The sequence below is a fragment of the Homo sapiens genome, chromosome 6, assembly GCF_000001405.40.
Source record: "Homo sapiens chromosome 6, GRCh38.p14 Primary Assembly".
In the NCBI taxonomy this organism is placed as follows: domain Eukaryota; kingdom Metazoa; phylum Chordata; class Mammalia; order Primates; family Hominidae; genus Homo; species Homo sapiens.
Window position 1 is genome coordinate 6,253,340 of NC_000006.12, and position 26,813 is coordinate 6,280,152.

Consider the following 26,813-nt stretch of genomic DNA (forward strand, 5'->3'; position numbering starts at 1 on the left):
CTTTAGGCTTATTTTGGCTAATGGGGTGTTAGCAGAAGCAATGTTAGCAGAAGCAAGTAGGGGTCTAAAATATGACTGCGCAGCTGAGCATGTGATCATACAAATCTGCTGTTACCCTGAGGAAAATATGACCCAGCAAGCCCACTGGTCAAAGAAGGATGAGAGGCACCAGAGCAGAGGGTCTCCGGAGCTCTCAGGGAGAGACGGATCCTCTCCAGCTGTTCCCACCGGAAGCAGAGCTGGCTAGTCAAGCCCAGTCTGGATGAGCCCAATCCCAGCCAAGCCCCAGATCCCTGAGTAAGTGCTTATTGTTGTATGCCACTAAGATTTTCTGGTTCTTTTTAATGTAGCATTAGTGTGATTATAGCTAACTGAAACAAAGCTACACTTAAAACTGACATTAGCACAGTAATGGACAAATATATGGAAGGAGCTAGATGTGTATTAAATCTTAGTAAATAATAAAGATGGCCCTTAAAATCAATAGGTAAAAATAGATCTGATCAATACGTGGTGTTTTGACAGCTGGTTATCTATGTAAGAAAAAAAGTGTCAGTAAGATCTCTTTATCCTACTATATACAAACTGTATCCATAGATTTAAGAGGCACATGTGTGTCTCTCCCTGACGATCTTTATTTCACCTGACATGTTCCAGATATAAGCAGGTAGAGAAACATAACGTTCAATAAATATATGAAAAAATGCTCAACTCCACTAACAATCAGAGACATAAAAACCAAATTAACCATGAAATACCAATGAAATACCATAATTCTCCTACCATATCGGCAAATATTAAAACAAATGATTAACCACCAGTGCCAATGAGGGTATGAAGAGATGGATACTCTCATCTACTATGGCTGTAGTGTAAAATACTGCAGCCTTTTAGAAGGGTAATTAGGCAATATCTATGCAAATTTAAAATGTGAATTCACTTTGCCCAATGCTATTTCTAGATGTCTATTCTACAGTAACATTTGTACAAAATGTATGTGCAACCTTCAAAATGGCATAACGTGCTATAGTAAAAATGGGAAACAATCCAAATAGTTGTAAACAAAACACCAAAACAACATGATATGACCATACCAAGCAGCCATTAAAAAGAAGATGCAGGTACTGATATAGAAAACGCTCCAAGATATACTGAGTGAGAAAATGAGGTACAGAGCAACAGGTTGACACAATCTCTTTTGTGGTTTTAAAAAACCTAAATTCTCTAGGTATATATATGCCATCAATACATAAAATGATAGCAAAGTATCTGTAATGATATACACAGTTAAAGTTGGTTTTCCCTGGGGATTCTCTAGGATTGGAAGATTGGTGAAAAGGAAAGTTTTCTTTTAGCCATGTAAATGTACATGTGTGTTTATTTGAAAAGAACAATATATTCAATTAATTGCCAATTAAAAATGAAAAGCACTGAAAATACTTTAAATGGATGACATTACAACAAAATGTTAATTGTTAGTGTCTCTAATTTGTAGATCTTTGAGCTCTTTTTATGCTTTTATTATTTTTTATTTCTATAATGAGACTTTTCCATCAGATAAAGTTATTTTCTAAAATGTGTTTCCATTTAAGTGAAGCTACCCATTTAAAAAGAGATTAACAAGTCCAACTTTTGTGCATTAGTTTTTCTTTAAGAGCAATATAGGGTTGTGCTCTTTTTTATTATCAGAGTCCTTCAACACAACTTTTTTCTCCTTCTTTAAGTCTCCCTGAACCCTTTCCTTTCCAGCACAGATTGAATTAAACCTTGTTCCCTTAGTGCCCTATGGAGGCGGGGGTAACATTTATCCCACTGTATGGACATTGCCGTTTAATGATTATATTTATTGAATAAGTATGTGTTTAAGTATTTACTTCTTAATTTTTTTTAAGTAGTAGCATGTAAATAAGCATTGTTATACTGCTTATTTATGGCCAGGAACTTTCTAAGTGCTTTATAACAAGACACATGAACTCATCAACACTCATAACATCCTTGTGAGGAAAGTAGCCCCATTTCACTGATGAGGAAACTGAGGCAGAGAGAAACATAACTTTTCCAAGGTCATGCAGCTAGTGAGTTGTGAAGCTAGGATTTGAATAAGCTGCCTTCTAAGTAGTCCATGGCTCTTGGGTCCAAAGGATCGGATGACTGCGTCCCCAGCCCCCAACACTGTGCCTTGGAACACGGTAGGAAATCAATCAATGTGTACTGAAAGAATGAGAGATGGGGAAGATGTCTGGAGCTTAGAGAGTAAGGAAGAAGTCCAAGAAAATGAAGGATTTACCTTTGGGCTTTGCGTTAGTATTGATGGGAAGTGATAAATTTAAGTGGCAAAGCATGATAGAGAGGAGTTCTGGAGCTCCAGACTAGGCCACCCTTTCCCTTCCAACACTTGAATTAAATCTCACCTCAAACAGGCAGACATTATCATGAATCCACAGTATGGCAAGGAAGTCAAATGGGAAGGCTCGATTTTAATTTTAAATTTATTTATGATTTTAAAAAGAAGATTGAGGGTGGAAAGCAGTGCTTTATTTCCCGTTTTTATTCAGATCTGTCACTTTAAAATATAGTTGTCCAAAGCAAGGTTAAAAAAAATTGTATCACGATGGAAACTCCAAAAAAACTCCCTATGTTTGGAAGGCTAACAAAAATAGAAAAATGTAATCATTTGCCCTTGGAGATTTTTGCTGTTGGCTTTTTGATAGTGTTTTCGTTTGTTTTTAAATTTTTGGTTAGCTTCAGAGCGGTGGGGTTTCACTAAGTTTCAGGGGAAGCTAGTTCTTCACTTAGTAAAATGGAAGGCTCGACTAATAGGAAAAACAAACTAACAAACAACTCACTATTCTAGAAACCCAACAATTTGGACTGGTAGAAGGTAGACGTGTATGAGGCTTGTGTGGAATGTGGGAGCTGGAAACTATACTTAACTGAGGACTGAGGGGAGAAATAAGGTCTAGACAGCTCCCAGAGTAGGAGCGGCTGCACCTTGGACCAACTGACAACTCTTTGATCGTAGGTGACCTCTGGCAGACAACCACCATTACGATAAAACTCTGAGAAAAACAGATTACACATGGCACCATTGGTGAGTGTGACACAGCACCTCCATCCACTGCCCAGAGCAACTCTGTCACCAGAACAGACCTTCAAAATGCCTCGTAAATAACCACCCTTGCAGGCTGACTAACAATTTACAAGAGGCATGTAGTGAAGAATAATGACCTCATTTATTTTACTGTTCCTCTGGTGGGAATGGAAGGGTAGTTAAAAAAGAAAAGAGTGGGCCAAGAAAATTTGGGGTGGATTTCAGTCACCCTCTGACATTCCCACTGTCCTCCCGACCCAGAGAAGGTAAGGATTTATAACAAACATGTAAAAACAAATGCTGAGCCTACTGATTTTAGTATCTGTATAACCTCTTTGTGAGAAGGAAGATCATTCATCATTGCATGGGCTGATACATTCCTTCTGCTTATTTACATGCTATTTCAAAGTCAGAGCAAGTTCCATTTCCTTGGTCATTAGGCTCAAGTCTGGCAAAGGGAGCCCAGGAATTAAACAAAACTATGGTGCTAGAACAGCTAACCTACATGGTCTCTTTCAACAGTTTAAACCAGAGTTTGGTGTTGTTTCTAATCCTTTAGAAGGAATAATGGTTTGGCCCTTCCAAAAGGCAAAATGAGTCACCATTTAGGGAAGGAAGGAATTTAGAGCGAGGGGATTAGGAATCACTTACACTTGCTTCCCCCTTTATATAAAAGCTGAGCACCACTAAAAAGAGGAAAGATTCATGCTGGGAGTGTGTAATCACTCTTAGAGGGAGTGGCTTGATCTGCAGAGCAAATGTGACTCCGGACTGGTGTCACCATGATATGTTTTTCCATCACAAAGTACATCAAAAGGGGTGGCAGATTCTAACAGGCTGTGTGTGCTGTGGCATACCAGGAGTAACTTCCTGTCGGTGGCAATTGTGAGCATATTAAGGAATGGCATTTTTAGAGTCTGAGCTTTTTATTCTGGAAGGATCCAAACGCACTGCCTTCCTAAAATGGTTTCATATAGCCACTCCAGAGACGTTGCTTGCCTATCTAGTAACACTGGAATGGAATCAATCTATGAAGCACAAGCAAATGGTTCCTCAATAGTCAGTTGAGTTTGCTTCTTTCCTTTTAGCCCCTTCAGTATAAAGTAGAGTAGTTCGCCAGGACTGGTATCCTCGAAATAACAATGACTAACACCGCTTCTCTTGGAGACCCTTGAGCCTAGACCAGAATTTGCACCCTCAGGCTACTGCCATTCATCCATCAATTCACAGATATTGATAGTATATCTCCCACAGTGCTCACGACAGCACAATCATCCGTGCGTGCATAGTACAACATAGTTTACATTCCTTACAAACATGCTGCATTACAGCTCACACCAGCTTGAGAAGGTTACTGGATTTGTGCTAATTTGCCTGTTTTGCTGGTTAAGGGCTTTTTAGTGTACTGAGATATCTTCAGAAGATAGACTATTATTCATGAAGCAATTCTACAAAGAAAATGTCAGAGCTTCTTTACTTAGCACATATCCTCTAAGGGAGCCTGTGCCCTTGTTGGTATGCTTTAATTTTTTTTCCCAGAGAAAGCTTTCATTTGATCTTGTAAATATCAACCTGAATTTATTTATTTATTTATGTATTTATTTATTATGGCAGAAATTTCCACGTTGATTAGGTCATTACAGAATCTTCTCGGCTGGCCATCTATTGGTTTTTTTTCTTTTGTTACACAATGCCAGATACTGATGGCTTTTGTTTTAAAAATATAAGTGCTTACCTTGACAGAGTCAGGATGCTCCAGGGTTAGCCTCAGTTTGTTTCTTAATTTTCTATAGGACTTTGAGAAATGCACGTAACATCACAGAACCTGCTTTCTCTCTTGAAATCTGAGTCTAATAATCGTCTCCTTGCCTCTCAGAATGGTGATTATCAGTTCAGTTCAGCAAACATTTACTGAACATTGACTCAATTCCAGGCACCACGAAAGGCTGAATGAGATAAGGATTACACCTTCCAAACACACAATCTAGGGAGATACTGACTATGAGCACACTTTGAAGCATATAAGAGACTCTACAAGGAAGGAATTGTAAACCACATGAATTGGTGGGTGAATGTGTCTCTGCATTAGACACTTCCAACCATGCTCTTTCTAGAAACACCTTGTAAAGACCTTTGCACCTCAATCCTGGGGTCACCTACATGCCATTGAAAAGAAGGTTTACTGTGAGCTCTCTGGGATCCTTTCTGATTACAGGGCCACACTAAATGATCCTCGCTTGGCATAAAAAGCATAATAAGTCTCTAATGACTCAGATACTAGGAAGAATGATGCATACTATTTTATTTAAGAGGAATATTGAGTAAATAAAGGTTAAAATTTTTCCATAAGCTTTATTAAAACTTCATAAAAATTCAATTAACCAACTATTTGATTACTATCCTATGCAAATACTGTTCTGGGTGCTAGCCAAGGTGCAAAGCTAAGCCACTGGCCAGTCTCTCCTCGTTCCCCAAATAGGTCGGAGTCCCCAGTTTTGTGTTCTTCTTGTGCACTGACTTATTTTAGTACTTTTTACAATTGTAATCAGTTTTTTATTAGGAGCTCATTTGTAAAATCCTTGCTAGAAGCTATACGAAGATTGTGTCTGCCTTTTTCACTGCCATAGTCCCAGTACCTAATTCAGTATTGACTTTGAATTTTTCTGAATGAATACATAATACTGTCGTACTGTGCACAGGTCATTGTGTTGTCATGGGCATGGGATGCGACATACTATCAATATTTGTGGATTGATGGATGAATGGCTCTAGCCTGAGGGCGTAAATGCTGGTCTGGGCTCAAGAGTCTCCAAGAGAAGGAATGTGGGTCATTGTTACTCTGAGGACACCAGTCTTGGTTACTTACTCCATTCTGTATGAAAGGGGCTAAAAAGACCTTATATAAATACAAAGCAAATTGGCTAAGGATGAATTTAATGATAAAATACAAGCAGGTCATATTTATTTATTTGCTGTTAAAAGCATCCAAGATATTGGGAACATATTGATTTCTTCATATTAAATTAAATTGATTTATTTGTTTAAAGAAAAGTGAAAAAACACATTGAATAAAAAGGAAATATTAGATGCTAATTTGGTGTCAGATGCTAAGAGATAGAGAAATCCACACACACATCACCCACAGACACACTCCTCCCAGCACACCAGATATGTTTTTGACTTTTCTCAAGATGGTAAGGTCTGAGATTACATTTACAAGTTATCTGTAATGACAGGGTGCGGCGAACCTAGAGTATTTACTTGGGATTATTAAATCAACACAGCAAACATTTATTAAACCTCAAGTGTGCCAGAGGCTAAGGATATGAGGTCGAATGAGGTGAGGGAAAAGCAGTGATGGAGAATGGAATGGGGGAACAACTTATCAAGAGGAGAAAGATCCCTTAAAGGTAACTGATGCCCAATCAAAAATACTGCTCACTGCTTCTCCAGAGTACTAGGCACAGATATCAGAAATCTAAATCTTTCAGGACCCACTATCTGGCACTAGTGCTAGACTACCAAACTGGAACATTCTATATTTAAATAGTGAAATACATTCAATAGTTCAGAGTTCCTGAGTAGTTAGAAAAACATGATGAATTCATAATAACTGCCCGTCTCACTCCTGCTGCCTTTGTGGGTACAGTTCTCTCTAACACCCAGGAGAAGGGTTTCCTCCCAGAATGGACCCGAAGCCCGGTTAGCACCACTAAACTAAAAACTAAGCAAGCAATTATTCTCCCCGCATGCACCCCTGCCTTCACTGATGTGGCATTGCTATTGATCCCCATTAATGATTTAGTGATTAAGGAGGATAAATTGCCTATGAATGCAAAGCAGGCTGAAGGGCCCTCAGGAGCACAGCTGAGCATTCTCCTATCAATAAGTGCTGTGCATGCTGCTGTAATTTTCAGCCCAGCATCCTGTGCCACCTCGGGCCACAATCTTGTTCACCTGGCTGTCTTTTGACAATTTCTGGAAACAGTTTTCCTTCTTATCTTCTGCTATCTTTTTCACTTGGGCGACAGTCTCACCCCTCTCTTTTGACCTACTTTCCAGTTACCAGGCCATAGCGCTGAATCCTTTGTTATGCATTAACACACACACAAGCATAAAACTGCAGGGGACTGCTGGGCTACAGTGTATGTGCTTGTGTGTGTGTTGGGGGGAGCGGTTCATCATATCATCCCCTTTTTGGGTTATGCTTTGCGTGCTAGGCCGGGAAACCACACAATAAGTGGGGAGATGAACTCTTTCTCTCACTTCATTTAAAAAAATGGTGTTCAGGGCCCAAAAGCATGGTTGTTGGAAGAGATCAAGCAACAAAAATAATAAAGCTCACTGGATCCCTCTGCATTAAGGAAGGAGAATTTGCTCCTGGGACAGAATGGGAGAGAAAAGTTCAGAGAATAAAGGAGAACAGTAGGAGAGAGAGAAGGGGTGGTAAGGGAGAGAGACTGGAATTAGGTTCAGGGTAGAGCCAGTGAAATTTTAAGAAGAGTAAATTATAATCTCCTGAGGTTTTTTGTTTGTTTGTTTTGTTTTTGTTTTTTGAGATGGAGTCTCACTCTGTGGCCCAGGCTGGAGTGCAGTGGTACGATCTCGGCTCACTGCAACCTCCGCCTCCCAGGTTCAAGCAGTTCTCCTGCCTCAGCCTCCTGAGTAGCTGAGATTACAGGCACACACCACCATGCCCAGCTAATTTTTGTATGTTTAGTAGAGATGGGGTTTCACCATGTTGATCAGGCTGATCTTGAACTCCTGACCTCATGATCTGCCTGCCTTGGTCTCCCGAAGTGCTGGGATTACAGGCGTGAGCCACTGGGCCCGGCCCTGCCTCTTGAGTTTTAAAGTTATTGCTTATTGTCTTTCTTTCTTCTTAGAGACAGGCTGGCGGGGCTGCCTCGAACTCCTGGGCCCAAGCAATCCTCCTGCCTCAGCTTCCCAAGTAGCTGGGACCGCAGGCTGCTCTGGGGGCCATGCCCAGCTTTATTGTTTCGTGATTATTATGAAACCAGTGGTCCGCTAAGTGTTGACCCCGACCAGCAGCAACAGCATCTCCCAGGAACTGGTTAGAAATGCAAATTCTCAGGCCAGGCCTCAGACCTACTCAACCTGAGGGTGCTGCACAGAAGTGGCTGAACAAGCCCTCCAGGTGATTCTGATGTGTTCCAAGCGTGGTGACCCTCCAGGTGATTCTGATGTGCTCCAAGCGTGGTGACCCTCCAGGTGATTCTGATGTGCTCCAAGCGTGGTGACCCTCCAGGTGATTCTGATGTGCTCCAAGCGTGGTGACCCTCCAGGTGATTCTGATGTGCTCCAAGCGTGGTGACCCTCCAGGTGATTCTGATGTGCTCCAAGCGTGGTGACCCTCCAGGTGATTCTGATGTGCTCCAAGCGTGGTGACCCTCCAGGTGATTCTGATGTGCTCCAAGCGTGGTGACCCTCCAGGTGATTCTGATGTGCTCCAAGCGTGGTGACCCTCCAGGTGATTCTGATGTGCTCCAAGCGTGGTGACCCTCCAGGTGATTCTGATGTGCTCCAAGCGTGGTGACCCTCCAGGTGATTCTGATGTGCTCCAAGCGTGGTGACCCTCCAGGTGATTCTGATGTGCTCCAAGCGTGGTGACCCTCCAGGTGATTCTGATGTGCTCCAAGCGTGGTGACCCTCCAGGTGATTCTGATGTGCTCCAAGCGTGGTGACCCTCCAGGTGATTCTGATGTGCTCCAAGCGTGGTGACCCTCCAGGTGATTCTGATGTGCTCCAAGCGTGGTGACCCTCCAGGTGATTCTGATGTGCTCCAAGCGTGGTGACCCTCCAGGTGATTCTGATGTGCTCCAAGCGTGGTGACCACAGAGTGCATCCTTCCTGCTCTCACCCTCCATCCCAAACTGCAGTTAAGGTCTGGGCATTCACAGATGTTGTGTGTGGCTGCTTTTGTTGTTGTTGCCAACATTGAAATTGAAGGTGACGGTCAAGTTTCTCACTTGCAGCAGCACAAGTGTGAGTAGGACTCCTAGAGGCAGAGGCAGCCATGAAGTCAGAAATCCCTAAAGAATTTGCAGAGATGTTTGGGCCTCCACAGGCCAAGTAATGAAGAAGATTGTGCTAGTTTGCCCTGTGTTCTGGAAGCAGGGAGCACCCTCCCGGCATGTCCCTGTAATAAGTTCACCTTCTACCCTCCAGATGACTAGCTCACATCTTCCCTATCAAGCGTTTCATGCCCTTCCTTGCTGCTGCTTCTCAACACATGACTTTGCTTTACACTTCACTGACAAAAAAAAAAAAAAAGGAGTCACAAAATGGCAATCACCTCATTCTTCTTCCATTAAACTGGAAAATCTGCACCCCTCTTCTTCTACTCTACTCCTGTCTCTGGAGAGAGTAGATAGCCCCACCCATCACAGGCCCTTCTTCACCTGTTCCCTGGATTCCAACCACTCAAGGATTTCACTCCTGAAACTTCTCAACCTTAGCTCCAAGAATCACCTGCAGAACTTTAAAAAACCCCAAAGCCCAGGCTGCAGTCCAGAGCAATTACATCAGAATGCCTGCATGGGGGACTGAAGCATCCATAGTTTCAAAGCTTCCCAGATGATTGCAACGTGCAGCCAAGGCTGTGAACCACCGTCCTCTCTCTGGACTGCAAACTCTCTTTCCTGGTTCCTCTCCGTCACCATAAAATAACACCCACTCTCTCTTGTCTTTAAAAAATTCTCCTTTGACCTTCGCTTCAACATCTAGGTGCTACAGAAAGTCTTGAGAAAGGTGCCATCTCCCGCCGTCTCTACTTTCTCGCCTCCTGTTTACAACACAGCCCATGACCATCTCCCTGGCTTCTGTCTCTATCACTTTAGTGAAACCGTCCTTTTCAAGATCATCGAAGACATCCATATTTCCACACTATATGGCCACTTTCCTCCCCTATCCTATTCAACTAATCATAGCATTAAACAGAGTTGACTGCTGTCTTGAATCTATCAATGTGTCTGGCTCTGGGCTCTTTTGATCTCCTTGCGCTCCACTGACTGCTCCTGCTCAGCCTCCTTTGTTGACTTCTCCTTTGTCTCAACTCTTAATTGTTAATGACCCTGAATCATTTGTGTCCGTTATTGCTCCTAACCGTGCCCATGTTTACATGTCTAGCTCAGCCATCTCCTTTGAGTTCTAGATTCACTTTATTCAAGTGCTTACTTGACGTTTTCATTTGCATGTCTCATAGACATCACCAAATTAACATTTCTGAATGTAACTCTTAGCTTCACCCCCAGTGCTTCCCCTCCACTTCCCACAGTTTTCCCAGCTCTGAAAATGGCACCGCCATCAACCCAATTGGTCTAACAAGAAATCTAGAGTTATTCTTGAGTCCTCCCATTTCTTTACTTCTCATCTTGAATCCCTGTGCAATTTTTGTTCTAAATACAAAATAGATCTCCAATCTAACCCCTTCTCATCTCCACTGGTACCACCATGTTTAGTTTATCATCATCTTTGTCCTAGACCACAGCTTCCAAATTGGTCTCTGGTTTTTGTCCCACCTTCCTCCAATCCTTTCCATGAACTGAAAACCTAGGGGAGGTCCCTGTACAGCCTCTAGAACAAGAACGCCTCCAGACCTAAGTGACTTTTTCAGAACAGAGGTATCTGGAAGCTGCTCATCATGGATACAACTGAAGATCAAGGCAGCAATTAGAAGGTTATTAGATTGTCCACCTCCTGAGTAGTTATCCTGAAAGTTAATATGTCAAGCAACTTAACTAACCCTTTTCCCGTCAAGAAGAGTGGTCACATAAGTTGAAATGAATGCAGACACATATCCCATTTACACACATGATATAATCCAGAAAAGTTGCAAACAAACCAAAGTCTGGGTAAATTATAGCATTCCTGAAATTTCCTAGAGTTCTGAACAGTTATATGTAGCCTAGGATTTTCTTTTTGTAATAAAAAGAAAGTCAATAACAAACTCTTGATTGATAAGTATGAATTTTTAAATACAATTTTCTTAGAATAGGTTGCTTCCTACATACTCTTCCATCTCATTCTCTTTTGCTGACTCCTTCTCTACTGGACTCCTAAATGATGGTGTTCCTGAAGGCTAGATACTATATCCTATTTCCTTCTTTATCTATATTTTCTCCCTAGGTACAGATAACTCCCAAATATATATCTCTGATTTTCTTCTCCAGATTCACATACCTATTTGTCATTTCTGCTGTCTATCTATGGTTATCTCCAACTTAACATATTCAAAATCTTAATTTATATATCTGTAACTCTGATCCTCTCAGTATTTTTCATCTCTGTAAATATCACCCCATCAACCAGTTGCAAATGCCTCACATCTGGTTTTAAGATTACTATCAAGAGTTCATTTTTTGAACTGCACATGGCCCAGTTAACATTTCCTGTTACCATTTACCTTGAATATCTGTCTCATAGATAGGAGTGTTGGGTACAATATGATGAGGATGGATGTATAGGGAGTGTAGGAATAGCTTGGCGCCTTTTGCCAACACTAGTGGAACAGGTAATTCCCAAGCCATGCTGGGCATGGTGGTTCATGACTGTAATCCCAACACTTTGGGAGGCTCAGGCAGGAGCACTGCTTGAGCCCAAGAGTTCGAGACCAGCCTGGACAACATAGTGACACCACGTCTCTACAAAAAGTAAATAAATATAAATATAAAACAAAGAAAAGATCAGTAGGACCAAGGTGTATGTTCTAGATGAGTAGCAAATATTGTTGTGCACTTATCTATATCTAGGACAGATTAACCCTGATTCAAATGTGACTTTCACATACAAGGATCATTCAAAATCAGCAATAATATGGGCTCATTTTGGATGATGTTAGAGAGCAGTGCATATGGGGTAGGGTGCCATGGGAAGTCTCCTGCCCCATGTGAGCTTTCATATCTTTCACTGCCTTATTTCCTAGGACCTAGAAGTGGTCTCTCCCACATTGATGCTGCTGCAACATCTGCATCTGCCTCTGGAACTTAAAACAGCTTCGTACAAAGTGTGGGAGCAGGGGAGAGGTATGAAAGGGCAGAGATGAAGATGAGGAGAAAATGCTATGTGTGACTGAGGCACAAAACAGAATTGATAGAGAAATCATTGAACTTGACTGAGTTTTATTTGAATATAACTAGATTAAGCTTCTGCCGCAGACAGAAAGGAAGACTGAAAATAGCACTAGAGATCAAGTTATATTATATTAAAGTACAGCTACATCTTTGCACATCCAGAGTTATGGTTTGCAAAATTTGCACCCACTATGCACATAAACAACTTTGTGGAATCCTTTAGATATACAGACTTTCTGTTCTTAAAGTAGGGGGATAGAGAGGTTAGTTCTACTATGAACAGCGTCGACTTTATTTTATTTTTCTGAAGTCAGAGTTATAGACTCTAATAGTTTTGATAATCAAGCTTAATAAGCCCAATTTGTTTACAGAGTAATAGTGTACAGAGGTTATACTGTCAACATATATTAGGTTGGTGAGGTTGGTGCAAAAGTAATTGTGATTTTTGCAATTACTTTTAATTACAAAACTGCAATTAATAGCTCCACAAATAACTAACTGCAACTTTAGACAATCTCCAATTAATCCCGAAATAAATGTATAGCAGCATTGACTTCACATATAGAGGTTTTATCTTCATACACATGGAGGATGAATTTTCTATCTTTCTCTTTCAATCATTAAAGATGGTATATGTAGGAGAGGCATATGTATTTAGAATAATCTTACTACCCCTTCAAAAAGAGATGTATTGGAAATACATGAGCTTGTTTTTTTTCTTTTTTCAAAGACGGAGTCTTGCTCTGTTGCCCAGGCTGGAGTACAGTGGCACAATCATTGCTCACTGTAACCTCCAACTCCCGAACTCAAGCAATTCTCCCACTTCAGCCTCCCAAGTAGCTGGGAGTACAGGTGTGCACCACCACACCCATCTAATTTTTAATTTTTATTTTTTAGAGACTAGGTCTCAAACTCCTGGCCTCAAGCGATCCTCCCATCTTGGCCTCCCAAAGAGCTGGGAGTATAGGCATGTGCCATGGCACCCCGCCAAATAGGTGAATTTTTAAATGAGAAAACTAAATGTCTGCCTCTTACCTTCACACCAAGGATTGAAGAGAATGTACGTGTCTGTTTCTGGGTTTCGACTGGTTCGAAGTACGCCATAGGGAGTCCAGACAGCAACATACATGCGGAATTTCCCCACAATACATTTGGGGGAAGACTGGATGGACAGCCGCACAGACCTGTCCTCTCTCATGACAATCTTGGCCCCCCACTTTCCACTTTGTAACTCTGAGACTATAGGCACTGGGATGTAGGTTCCCTTGTTCTCCTGTGGGTAGCGACCTATGAGAAGAGAGAAGAAATACTCTGTTAGGTTGATTTCACAAGCCATTTTTGTTCTCACTCTGTTATCTTATAGCTGAAGGGACAGGAGTAATCCATTAGAATTATTCTTGACTTGAAGAAACATACAAATCAGGCAAGTCTGCAAATTACTTTGATTGTAAGCAGGAGAACCTTCAAGAGCAAAACTTATTCACTTCATTTGTTTTCTATAAAGCATGTAGAGGATTCCACATTAAGACAAGCAAACAGTGCTCCATTGTAACCTCCCTAATTACTAATTTCAAAGATCTTTAAAAGAGTCTTTGGTAGGCATATTGTCAGAGAGAGAACATTCTAAGGAGGTGGTTACATAAGTTACTGCTGTGCAATTCTGTGAGGATGCTTAATCTTAATGAAAATAATAATTTACACAGTGCAAACCACTGAGAAAGATTAGAACTTCAACACTTTGCTATTAGGGATATAGGTTATACCACTCAGAATGAATATCACATATACTTGTAAATCCAGCACAAATTTAAACATTGTTTTCTGCCTAGGTGCCATGGCATCTAAGTAATGCTCTTGAAGACTCATGGGACTCACCCTCTCAGGAGCCCCTCCATAAACCCACCTGCATAAGCATGTTTGTTCCAGAGGCACCCATCTCCTGTTTCTGCTCCCTCTTCGTGCATACTCAATCTTGGGATGAGCTTGCCCTTTTTACCAGAGGCTTTGTTTTTCTCTGGAACCCCTTTCACTGTTGACGTGTAGACATCAAAGGCAATCTTGCCAGGTAAATGGGACCCATAATTCATTTATTACAGTGGTTCCCAGCAGCTGTTGTCACTAAATACTGATTTAGATTCAGAATACGTCGTATTTAAAAAGATGCAAGTTTAGTAAAAATAAACTTAGAGATAAAAATCTACGTGTTAATGATAGATTTAAAAAAAAATAAGGGATGAAAGGAATTTTAAAGCTAATTATGTAAGGATGCACTTTGGGGAATAGCAAAAAACTAGAGAAGTACATCTGAAAGCACTCTTTGTACCTGTTATGTGCTCAACCTCAGCTTCACCTTTGTGCTAACTTCCACTTTTGTTTTAAAAGCTTCACCTTTGTACTAACTTCTACTTTTGTTGGGAACATGGAAAGAATGAAGACAATCACTAGTTTCCACTGTTACACTTTAAATTAAGACTTCAAAGACTCATATTGAATTTCACCTATCAAATCCAAGTTATACAAAAATAGTAAAGCAAAAGGAAAGCTATGCTTTTTCATGCTGACTTTGAATCCAGTCATAACCTAATTTAAAGACTACTTCTGACATTTTTCATTCATATATTGATATTGCCTACTATGTGCTAGACATTATCCTAAGTGCTAAGGATACAACAGTGAAGAAAACAGACAATAACTTCTGTGCTCATAGAGCTGATATTCCACAGAAAAAGCCAAAGCATGTGGCTTACCATGTTCTTATTACCCCTTTATTCCCTATAACAAAAGATGAGAAGGAAACCATTATCATCATCCTAATTTGACAAATCAGGAAACTAAGAGTCATTAAGCAACTTACCTAGGGTGATACAACTAGCAAATAGTGGAGTTCAGATTTGAACCCAGACCATCTGGTTTGAGAGTCGGCCTGTTCTAAGCTCTATGGCAGCTGTGTGAGTTGAAAATGTTTTGGAGTTGATGAGAACCATGTCAAATTCTGACTCCACTATTAACTACTGGTGCAACTTCAGGCAAATCACTTACTTGTCTTAGCTTCCATTTTCTTGATTCTTTGCAGTTTAGTTTGGGAAATAAAAAGACAATAGATTTTATAATATAATGAAAGCTTTATGCTTAGCACACAGTAGGGGCTGGCTGAGGGGGCACTCATTTTTTTTTTTTTTTTTTGAGAAGGACTTTCACTCTTGCCACCCAGGCTGGAGTGCAGTGGCATAGTCTCAGCTCACTGCAACCTCTGCCTCCTGGGTTCAAGCAATTTTCCTGCCTCAGCCTCCCAAGTAGCTGGGATTACAGGCACCCACCACCATGCCTGGCTAACTTTTTGTATTTTTAGTAGAGACAAGTTTTTGCCATGTAGGGCAGGCTGGTCTCAAACTCCTGACCTCAGGTGTTCCCCCCCGCCTCAGCCTCCCAAAGTACTGGGATTACAGGTGTGAGCCACCATGCCTGGCAAATTGTTTTTTTTTTTTAAGTATAACTTCTACTAGAAAGTAAAGGCAGAAGGAAGAAGGGGTGATTTCTTTTTTGCTCTCTGGTTCTGAATCTGAAGAAAGGTGAATGTCCCAAGGAAAGTACGTTACTTGTGTTGATTGAGATATTGTGGCTAAGGGGAAAGCAATTCAGCTGGCTCTAACACTTCTGTGTGATCTCGGGCAAAGCACTCATCCCCTGTCAACTAAAACTTTGCTTCTTCTACAAAATGGAGATCATGGTGGTCATAGTTTGTGATGGGGAGGGCAGCTTAATAATTGGTAGTTATCATTACTTCCCTGTTGTCCTGGGCTTTCTGATTCCTCTAAGTGATCCTTCTCTGCTCCATCTGTGGGAAATTAGGATGGGTTTACCAATTGCCAACAAACCTATCAAAGCCCAAATCTATTTCAAAGGCCAATTCATCCCAAACTAAAAAACCTTGAGCTGACTGATTTTTCCATCAGGAGAACTTGTAGAAGTAAAAAAAGAAAAAAAAAAGGGTTGCCATTTATTAGTAACCAAAAGCCTTAATAATTCCAGAATCATCATGGAGTCACCTGAAACCTCCCATTCAATCATAATTTCTGATTTTCTGAGTTGTTAATGATCAATGTAATCTCCATTCATCCTTTAGAGCAATGGTTAGAAAACTATAGTCTGCGGGCCAAATGTAGCTTACCTACTGTTTTTTTTTTTGTTTGTTTTATTTTGTTTTGTTTTGAGATGGAGTCTTGCACTGTTGCCCAGGCTGGAGTGCAGTGGTGCAATCTTGGCTCACTGCAAGCTCTGCCTCCTGGGTTCATGCCATTCTCCTGCCTCAGCCTCCCTAGTAGCTGGGATTACAGGCGCCCACCATCACGCCCGGCTAATTTTTGTATTTTTAGTAGAGACGGGGTTTCACCTTGTTAGCCAGGATGGTCTTGATCTCCTGACCTCATGATCTGCCCGCCTAGGCCTCCCAAAGTGCTGGGATTACAGGCATGAGCCACTGCGCCCAGCCTACCTACTGTTTATATAAAGTTTAATTGGAACACAGTTATGTTGATTTGCTTGTGTATTATTGTGCTACAATACAACCCTACTCTTGTAAGAGCAGAGTTGAGTAGTTGTGACAGAGTCCCTATGGTCTGCAACGCCTAACACAGTAGCTGGCCCTTACAGTAAACAATTGCCAACATCTGCCTTAGAGGATTTCACATTTTATTTATTTAAGGAGCGATTTATTACAGACTCTTGAAGTCTAACACTTGAGCCTAAGAAGAAAATACCATCACCTAGCTTCTCCTTCCAAGGAGAAATATGTTTCTAAACTATTCGCAAACATCTGTACTACTAGTAGGTCAACCTTTAGTTTCCTTAAAGTCGCCTAAATTCCCCACAGTCTCAGGGGGTGTTGAAAACATAGGAAGTTTGTAGCTTTTTATTGATTTTATGATTCATGGCTAAAATATTCAATTTTAAGATTGCAAAAGTTGTTTAGAGTTGCCAAGGCAGTTCACATAGTGATGCAAATAAAGTGACAGGAAATAAGTTTTATTTCTTGGGGTCCTTACAAAACCTCTGTGAGGAAATTTTTACAGATGGGAAACTGAGGCTTGGTGAGGGCGTCATGTGTGCACATCACATAGCTAGGCAGAAGTGGAGACAGAACTGGGGACAGGGAAGCCTGTTCTCTTTGCTCCATGTCATGCTTCCTCTGTGGAGGAAGGTGGAGAATGGCAAAAGGGATCTAGGGAGATGAAAGGAGACAAGAGAAGAATAAAACTGGAAAGTCCAAAGGAATATGAGGAAAAGGGACATTGAGAAAATATGCTGCCGTGGATAAGAGTTGTGTGAGCCAGAAATGTGGATCAAAGGAGGTAACAACTGAGTGAGTGAAGAGAAGGAAGACCAGGTGGAGAGAACCTGCATGAGGGTCTCTCTGGGCCAACTCATTTTTTTGTGATTTGCATTGGGAAGACTTCCAAAGTAATGTCAGACACCAAAGGGTGAAGGCTGAGCAATCCTGCTGATACGCTGATGCCACGTGGCCCGGGAACAGGTTATGGAAGCGTTATCAGGGACAGGGAGTGGTGAGATTAATTCCAAAGGAAGGAAAAAGAATCCTGATTGGCAGGCTTTTCATATTCCTGTATGGGAAAGCTGGTTAGGAATGTGGAACCTGATGTGCCAATAGAACCTCAGGGACTGCTCTATTACACCCATGTTTAATTCTGAATGTAATGATTTCAGTGACAGCACTGGGGAAGTACTCTCCATGATTGAATTGTGAGTGAGGAAGTTGTGACAGAGTAGTATTTCATTTCACTAAATAGCCCTTCTCAGCCCCAGGAGTCGGCATGGTTACGAGACCACAATCCAGCTACCCTGGGAAAACCCATCCATCAACATCCATGACTGCCCATCAGCTATCCTTGGCCCAATCTGGATGGAAAACATGGCTCCATACAGGGAACCTCCATGCACGTGTTTGCCTAGAGTATATAATGCCTGGATAGATGTGTTTTTCTCCCCCAAATCATGCAACTTTGCGTTAAAAACATCAGGGCAAGAAAAAGACATCGGGAAAGACAGCATCCAAGAAAGGAATCCCGTTTTGTTTTTAATAATTGCAGCCTTTGAAATTGGACTACTAAACATGAGGAAATATTATAATTACCAATTGCATTTTTTCACACTTATCAAAAACTAGTGCCATCTTCCCAAGTGATCTAGAAATTAACATATGCTCTTAGTTTCAGTGCTTGCTTCCATTTGTGAATTATTATTGAGGCCACAAAACTAATGTTTTTAAGGCAAAAGCCGCTTGGACCATATGCCTATATTCGAATGTCTCATTGTCCCTTTACTGAGGGCCTCACTCTCCTTACACAGACCTACCTTAATCCCCCCAGCTGGGATGTAGGAGGAAGAAGATGAAAATCTTTAATTCCATTTGTGATGTTACTCTTTTCCAACCTTAGCTACCTAGGCTTGATTGAGCTTTGTGCACAGTTTCTTGATATTAGTATTCTTCACAAGATAGGAAAGAGAAATCTAGCCACAGCTCAAATTCAGTGCTATGTGACCCTGGGGAAAATGTCCTCTCAACCTTTCAATGCATTCCACAGACCAGAGAGCCCACTGCACGCAAAGCCCTGCATTGGTAGTGCCCACTAGAAGAATTCATTGCCTTTTAAAAAATTAATCTTTTGGGTTAGTTGATGGCTTTGAAATATTTTTACATTAAAAATACAATGTCCTAGGTGGTGATTAGGTTCCCAGGTAGTCTAGAAAGGACATCAAATAGCACATGGTATGGTCAGTATGGTTGAATATTGTTCCTAATAGAACTGTTCTGACTCCACCTCTCTCATGCCTAGGACCTGGAAGAACATACTTGCCATCAAGGAGGGTTGGTATCAGTGACTGAGTAGACACATCTATCAATCACTGCTCCCTCTCGTGCTCCAAAATAAAGAAGCTGATAACTCAGGACACTCCCACTTCTCTCCTCTTTTGGGCATGTCATCTGTAAGTCCAGTGGCTGCAGTCTGTGCCCCTCATATGCTATACTTAGTAATAAGAAGACTTCTGGCCATATCGTTAGGGAAACGAACGTAGGAGAGCCAGGGTCACAACCTTTTTAAATCAACTGCATCTGAAAACTAGCAAGGCACTTTCCTTGCCAGTCAAAACCCATGGTCCTAAGATGTTGACAGCTAAGGAAACAACTTAGTAATGCCTGCAAGGACAAACTCCTACAACAACAGAAAGTCCAGATGTCCCAATACCCATAATGATATATACTTTCAAGAGAATTACAGTTATGCTTTGATATACTCACACACTAAAATGTCAAGGATAGTTTTCTTTAAATCAATAGAATAATAAATTTTGTCATGCTGTCATCCTACCCACACAAAAGCACAGCTTTGTTTAGTCTTTACATAGACAAGACTCCTATGTAAGAAAAGCTTAAAACAATGACAGCGCATTCCTCCACTTGCTTTCTGAGGATACCCTACTTTGTAATGGAGCAGCTTTTAATAAACTATCTCTTCTCACTGCTCTCTGTGACTCACCCTGAATTCCTTCCTGCATGAGATCCAAGAACACTCTCTTGGGGTCTGCATCGAGACCCCTTTTCCTATAACAATTATTTGCCAGAAAAGCCCAAACAAACATTTTTCTCCTTATTCACTTAGATATCTATTCCGCTTGTTAAACTGAACTGAAGACATTGTCTAATATGTCTGTATAGCTCCCATAGAATGTCACAGTGTTTTGTACCCAGTCGGTACCTAATAAATGTCAGTGAGGCTGAACTGAGCTCTCTGCAAATGGCAAGCCCCACTAAGATCATCATAGAGATGTTAGAAGCTCTGGAATGAGATGCCCACAGCAATCTGGGTGTTCAATCCAAGCACCCCTCACAAGAAAGAAACTTTTTTATTTCTAAGCTTCTTCCTCAGAGGGTGTTTTCCATTCTTATATAAACACATTTTAAGCTGAGCCCTGACTCCATCTACCTGCAGACTTCCCTTAAGAGTTCATTCTTATAAGAGGACTGTCTCTAAGGAACACAGGAATCTATCATGTCTTCAGCTGAGAAGGTAAATTTCATGATGTTAATTCATTTTTCCATTTGATTCATTTGTTTTTCCCAAGGCGCACCTTTCATGTTCAAAATAATCAATCTATTTCCAAATGGGCCCTTGAAGTATGAAGGTAACAGCATGATGTATGTGGCAGCGCTGGAAGTGTGAATACAGTTGCTTTGGAAAAGGAAGCAAAACTTGTGCTAACAGTCTTAGGATGGAAAGGGAGTGTGCTGAGACCAAGTGGGAATAAGTCACCAAATAACTCTTAGAAATACCAGGTTACCAGCTACAAAAACAAAATGCCACCACCAAAAAAGAAACAATCAAAAAGGCACAGAAATCATGGATGATAGCAACTAAGAGGAGAGAAACACAAGTATTCAAAAGCAAATCATCTCTTTGAGGACTGTAGAAATCCGCCCTTTCCATTGCTAAGTTGCCATTGGCAGATTACATACATATTTCCAGATGTTTCCTAAAGAAAAGAGACCTTCCTGGCCATGTTTATTCTAGCTCAGGCAAACTTAGGTAGGGTTGGGGGGAAACTTTGTGAAGACAGAGATGGAGTTTTGTTTAACTTTGTATACCCAGCAGCTTGCATGATGTTTGGAACGTAGTAGGTGCTCAATAAATATTTGGCAAATGGAAGCTAGGTACTTGTTAAGGTGTCTTTTCTACCTTGATTTTATTTTACTTTTCTTTCAGTGCTTCCTACATCACTTAAAGCCTCTTTTGGAGTAAATGTAAGGCGTAATTTTGTGGGATATACATGAAACCAGCATCGTGCTAGGTTTTTTGAGTGAATCAGAAAGAAATCATAAGGCTGTCACCTGATGCTGACTACCTGGTCCCTGGCTTTAAGAAGTGCACCACTTAGATGGCTAACCAAGGCAGGAATGTGAACATGAGGACACCCTGTCTCAGGATGATGCCAGTGGCATTCACAGGAAGTAAGAACATAACATGAACTTCAGAGAAAATACGAACAGCATTGAGATAGGAGAATTTCTCCCTAAGAATGGCTTATTTCTGAGAAAGAGGACTGTGAAGCCCCTTCAGTGAAATGTGCATGCATTTTAAACATTCCTACAGCATGCCAGCCTCTTCCTGGGACTACTGGTCACGAGGAACACAGTGTGGAAACCCAGAGGAGGAAGTGGCTAACAGTGTCTGTGGAAGTTGAAGAAGATTCCTCAGAGAATGTGGTTTTGGGATACAATCTTAAAGGTGGAAAAGGTAGAGAAAAGTCTTCCCAGCTGGGGGAGTAACCAACTGAGGGAATAAGGAAAGGATGGTGCATAAAGGGAATGGCAGGAAACTCAGGATACCTGTGGCAGAAGAAGCATTTGACCCAGGGAGGGTAAAAAGCAAAGGGACCTCCAACGCTGTGCAAAGGTATGTAGAGTGTGTCCTAGGGAGGGGATGGAGATGGGGCAGGAGCCATTGAAAAGCTTAAGTGATCTGGTGAGATTACATTTTAGAAAGATCAGTCTGTCTGCAAGATGGAAAATGGTTTGAGAGGGACAAGAGTGGAGCAAGGAAACCAGTCAGAGGGTGCTGAAGTGCTCAAGGGAGGCATGATGGTGTCTTTGACTGACTCTCGGGGGAAGGTAAGTGGAGGGGTGCCAGCGGAAGCAGGAAGTAGACGCAACAGGTATTTGATGTTGGCATTAAGTAGGGGGGCAGAGCCATAGGCGACCCCAGGTTTTGTTCATTCTTGAAAGAGTTTTTCAGTGCCTACAAGGTGCCAGGCACCATTTTTTTTATTTTTTTTGTTTGTTTTGTTTTGTTTGGAGACGGAGTCTTGCTCTGTTGCCCAGGCTGGAGTGCAGGGGTGCCATCTCAGCTCATTGTAACCTCCACCTTCCAGGTTCAAGCGATTCTCCTGCCTCAGCCTCCCAAGTAGCTGGGACTACTGGTGTGGGCCACCACACCCACTAATTTTTGTACTTTTAGTAGATAGGGAATTTTGCCATGTTAGCCAGGCTGGTCTTGAACTCCTGACCTCAAGAGATCCACCCGCCTTGGCCTCCCAATGTGCTGGGATTACAGGCGTGAGCCACTGTGCCTGGCCCTAGGCACTGTTTTAAGTGAGATACAGCCATGAACCAAACAGTCATTCCCTCTAACCCAAAGATTCCAGACTAAGCTTCAAGCATGGGAGAACATGCTGCTTTATGAGGAGTTTGCTCCAAAAGTTAGGACCTGGTGTTGTTAACTGCGATACAAATTTACTCCAGGAAGCTAGTTTTCTAGAAATTCCCTAACCCACATGTGTGTTGCCTCATTTAAGAGAAGACAGGATATTTTTAGTCTTTAAGAAAAAATAACCAGCAGAAAATGTTCTACAATGTAGACAAAGTTGGTTACAGAGCATAACATTACACTGCAGATTTGTTCACGTTGCCCATTCAATTCCGAAGGACCAGGAGGAACAGGAGTCAAAGAATCTGGACTTGTGTTTCCTGTTGTCCATTCGGGAATAACAACCACTTATAGTTTGTCTCAGCAACTCCACCTATTGACAGACTGGCTGTTCTCAGACCTATTGCCTGCACCCCTAGAATCTTCTGTCAGGTTCCACAGGAAGCCATGTTCCCACGCTCCTCTGCTCTCTGACTTCGAGGTAGGTTCGGCCAAAGAGAGGATTGGAAGCAGGAGGAGGGGAGATGTCAGGGTGTGTCTCCTGTGCTCTCTCTGTCTTGAGGTGAGAGTCTGAGTCTCCTCCATGGCTCCAGCACCTGCTGATGCCTTCTGGGTTCTGATGGGACCTCCTCCTCCATGTGCCTCCAGCTCCTGGTGTGGTGGCAGTTTTCTACTGTTCCTAATTCCTGGGTTGCCTCACCATGTCGTTTGTTTGGCTTCTTAGTCATTCACTCGCTTGTGTACCCAATTGCCTCCAGTAAGCTCCCACTGCTTACAAATCTAGAGCAGTTTCTATTTGCTCTATCACCTTTAAGGGTTATGTCCATTTTATATATGGGAAAACTGAGGCTCAGGTAACTTAAGTAACTAGCTCTAGGCTACATAGCTATCAGGATGCAGAACAATCATTTGAACCCAGGTCGGCTTGGTCCAGAGCTGTGACTGGGGAGGCTAATGAACCCTCTCAGTGCATTTTCCATCTGTAAAATTGGCATTCCAGAAGATGAGGATTAAACAATAGTGTGTGTGAAGGGCATTTCATAAACTGAACAAATTATTATTCTCCGTATTATATGGTGTCTGATGGCTATAATAGCAAAGAAATCTTACTAAACTTATTTTATTTTTATTTCTGAGCATAACCACACAGGTAGTGAATAAGGTGTGAGAACTAAAAGTAAAATCTTATCCCCACCCCACTCCCAACCAACTGTACAGACTCTTTCTTGGCTAAGGGGACCCCAGAGAAACCTTAAAAACTGAGCCGCAGCCATGATGGGATGGGAGGTGGTACACACCTCACTATATTCCCTTTCCTTTTGCTGTTTAGACAAAATTGAACAGAATCAATGTTAAAATAGAGATCATAAGACTGACACTGTGCAGGAGATCGAGACCATCCCGGCTAAAACGGTGAAACCCCGTCTCTACTAAAAAATACAAAAAATTAGCCGGGCGTAGTGGCGGGCGCCTGTGGTCCCAGCTACTTGGGAGGCTGAGGCAGGAGAATGGCGTGAACCCGGGAGGCGGAGCTTGCAGTGAGCCGAGATCCCGCCACTGCACTCCAGCCTGGGCGACAGAGCGAGACTCCGTCTCAAAAAAAAAAAAAAAAAAAAAAAAAAAAAAAAAAAAGACTGACACTGTGGCAATAAAATATATAATTATAAACAAGACCCAAGGCCACACCAGGCAAGGATTAAGTCATGAACCCCTGCATTTAAAGAATAAACTATGTTCTAACTGCCACAAAGTTTTTCTTTTTGTCTAGCAGCTAAACAAGCCCTGGTCTCAAGATGAGCAATGTTGGAACAACTACAGTTCATCCATCACCAGATGCTGACTAACTAACTCACATTCCACCAGCCACAACTACAGTTTTGATTGCGTAAGAGACTGATTTCAGCATCTTTCTCCTGGTAAGAGACTATCAACCATGGACTGGTTCTGGACGATTTACCGAAGCTGCACACTACAATGCATTCCTGTCCCTGCTTCACCTTTTGATGTATAGGGCCTAACTGAAGCACATATAAATGTTAAGTCTCACCCCAAAGCGAACATGGGTCACACATAACATGCATGTTTATTCAGTATGCATACATTAAGACCCTCTTCATAAATGTTCATAGCTCCTCCTGTAACCTGTGGAATATGTATATTTGGCCAACCAGCTCAGCATAAATTCCTGTTCCATCTTCCTTTCCCTTGAAGTGCCCACCTTTCAGCCTCTGCCAGAGGCTGTGCTTCTCAGCCTGTCCGGATAGTCACTCTGCAGGCTGTAACCTTTTATAAGAAATAAAGACTCCTTTCCAAATGTATAGATTTGTGATTTTTCAATTAACAAGTAATTGTTGCTGTGGCACGATTCAGGATCTTTTTCGTCAACAGGTTATTTATTAAGCACCATTTAAGTGCCAGGCACTGTTCTAGGTACTGAGAATACAGCAGTGTCAACACATAAAGATTAATGGAGTGTATAGTCTAGTGGGAGTATACGGACAATAAACAAATAAATACATGATACGTCAAACGGAGACAAGTGCTATGAAAAAATGACTAGAGCAGCTTAAGAGGACAGAGAGGGTCAGAGCTGGGGGTGCTATTTTAGAGACAGTGGCCAGAGGAGACATTTGAGAAGAGACTTGAGAAAAGTGAGGGAATGAGCAGTGCAAATATCAGGGGACAGGTGTCATCAGTGCAAAGACCCTGTGGGAGGTGGTACTTGGCATGCTTGAGGAGGCCAATGTGCCTGAAGCAGAGAAACTGTGGGAGGTGAGGTATCTGAGCAGGGGAATTGGGGGAGGTATGATGCCTGGGGCAGAGGGAATTGTGGGAGATTAGGTGCCTGAGCAGAGGGAACTGTGGGAGATAAGATGCCTGGGACAGAGGGAATTGTGGGAGATGAGGTGCCTGAACAGAGGGAATTGGGGGAGATTAGACGCCTGGAGCAGAGGGAATTGTGGGAGGTGACAGTGCCTGAGCAGGGGAATTGTGGGAGACGAGAAAGTTCCTGGAGCAGGGGAAACCATGGAAGATGATGTCAGAGACAGCCAGATCAAGCAGGGCTTTGTAGGACTTTGGATCTTATTCTGATTGAGAAAAGCAGTCACTAGAAAAGAGGCATGGTCTGCTTTAAGTTCTTTTAAAAAATCACTTTGGTTGTTCTGTGAAGACTGCAGGAGAGCAATCAGGATTGCTATGAAGATCTCTTGACCTCTCAATATTCCCCCTTTGCTTGTTGGTAATGAAAATCCTACCAACAGAAGAGAAATTAGAGATGATGCTGAAATGTTTATATCCCTGGGAAAGGCAATGTGTTTGCTTAAATTTACTGCACTATGTACCTTTCCTAAAAGCTGGAACTGGGTGTTGGAAATAGGGAGGAAAGTGGAGGTTGGAAATAGGGAAACTTGCTCAGGGGACATGGTATAAAAAATGTGGCCACCAGAAGCACAAAGTTCATCTACATGACCATTGTTTCTAGGGCAGTTTCCAGCCCTTCCTTGGCATGAGTTTAAACAAGACTGTGTTATTCTATCAATCCATGAAGGCTAAACTCTTTAAGATCTAGAGATGTGAGACAGAGAAATAGGATGTTGGTGTCACAATGTCTAATTTATTGTAGTTTGCCAGATTTCACAGTTATAAACCAAACTGCATACCCAGCTTTTTGCCCCATCTGACCCCAACTGTTATGCAATTCTTTCAACTGACAAAGAATGTTTCCATATTTCTTGGGTTTCTGACCCCTCGTGCTGGGGTCTGGAAGCCCAAGGGGTGGAGAGGGACTTGGTGGGGAGGCACACTTTGCACTGAACATGAAGGTCACTGACCAGATGCACTGCATTTAGCATCTTCGAGACCCATCTCTTTCATGTTCTCAGTCAGCTCAGAACACATGCCGTAAAGAATCTCCTACAGCAACTGAATTTCCCCCAGCAAATGGCAAGTCTATGGAGCCAAAGCACCATTTGCTCATTTGCTTGTGTTCCATCCATTATATGAGCAGAATGAGCCTTCTAGGTTTTACAAGAAAGGCTCATTTCGTTAAAATCATGGCAACTGACTTAAAAAATAAAGTGTCATTAGCCAACAAAGGAAAAAGTTTAGCTGAATGTCTTCCAAACAAAACAGGCCAACTGATGACATTTTTGCTAAAACAGTCAATTCCTGTTAATAATTGAATGGCAACAATAATGAGAATAAATCACTGGTAATTCTGATAAAGCATTTGTTTGTCTTTGGAGTATATATGAATGCAATATATAAAAGCAAGTGTTAAATGAGTTTGCATTGCCAGAGATTAAAGCAATTACTGGAGAAACAAAAATCAACATAGAAAACATTCTAAGGAGTATGGTACAGTCCATCTAGTATTAACCTACAAGTGGATATTTACAATACATACTCAAT

At 41.8% G+C, this 26,813-nt stretch overlaps 1 protein-coding gene across 1 annotated transcript in view; it reads right to left on the minus strand.

The window, feature by feature from the left end:
* F13A1 (coagulation factor XIII A chain) overlaps positions 1 to 26,813 on the minus strand; it is a 176,579-nt gene that overhangs the window by 109,256 nt on the left and 40,510 nt on the right. Inside the window, exon 4 of the mRNA NM_000129.4 lies at positions 13,219 to 13,470. Coding sequence (NP_000120.2) covers positions 13,219 to 13,470 — 252 coding nt within the window. The remainder of the gene's footprint in view (positions 1 to 13,218; positions 13,471 to 26,813) is intronic.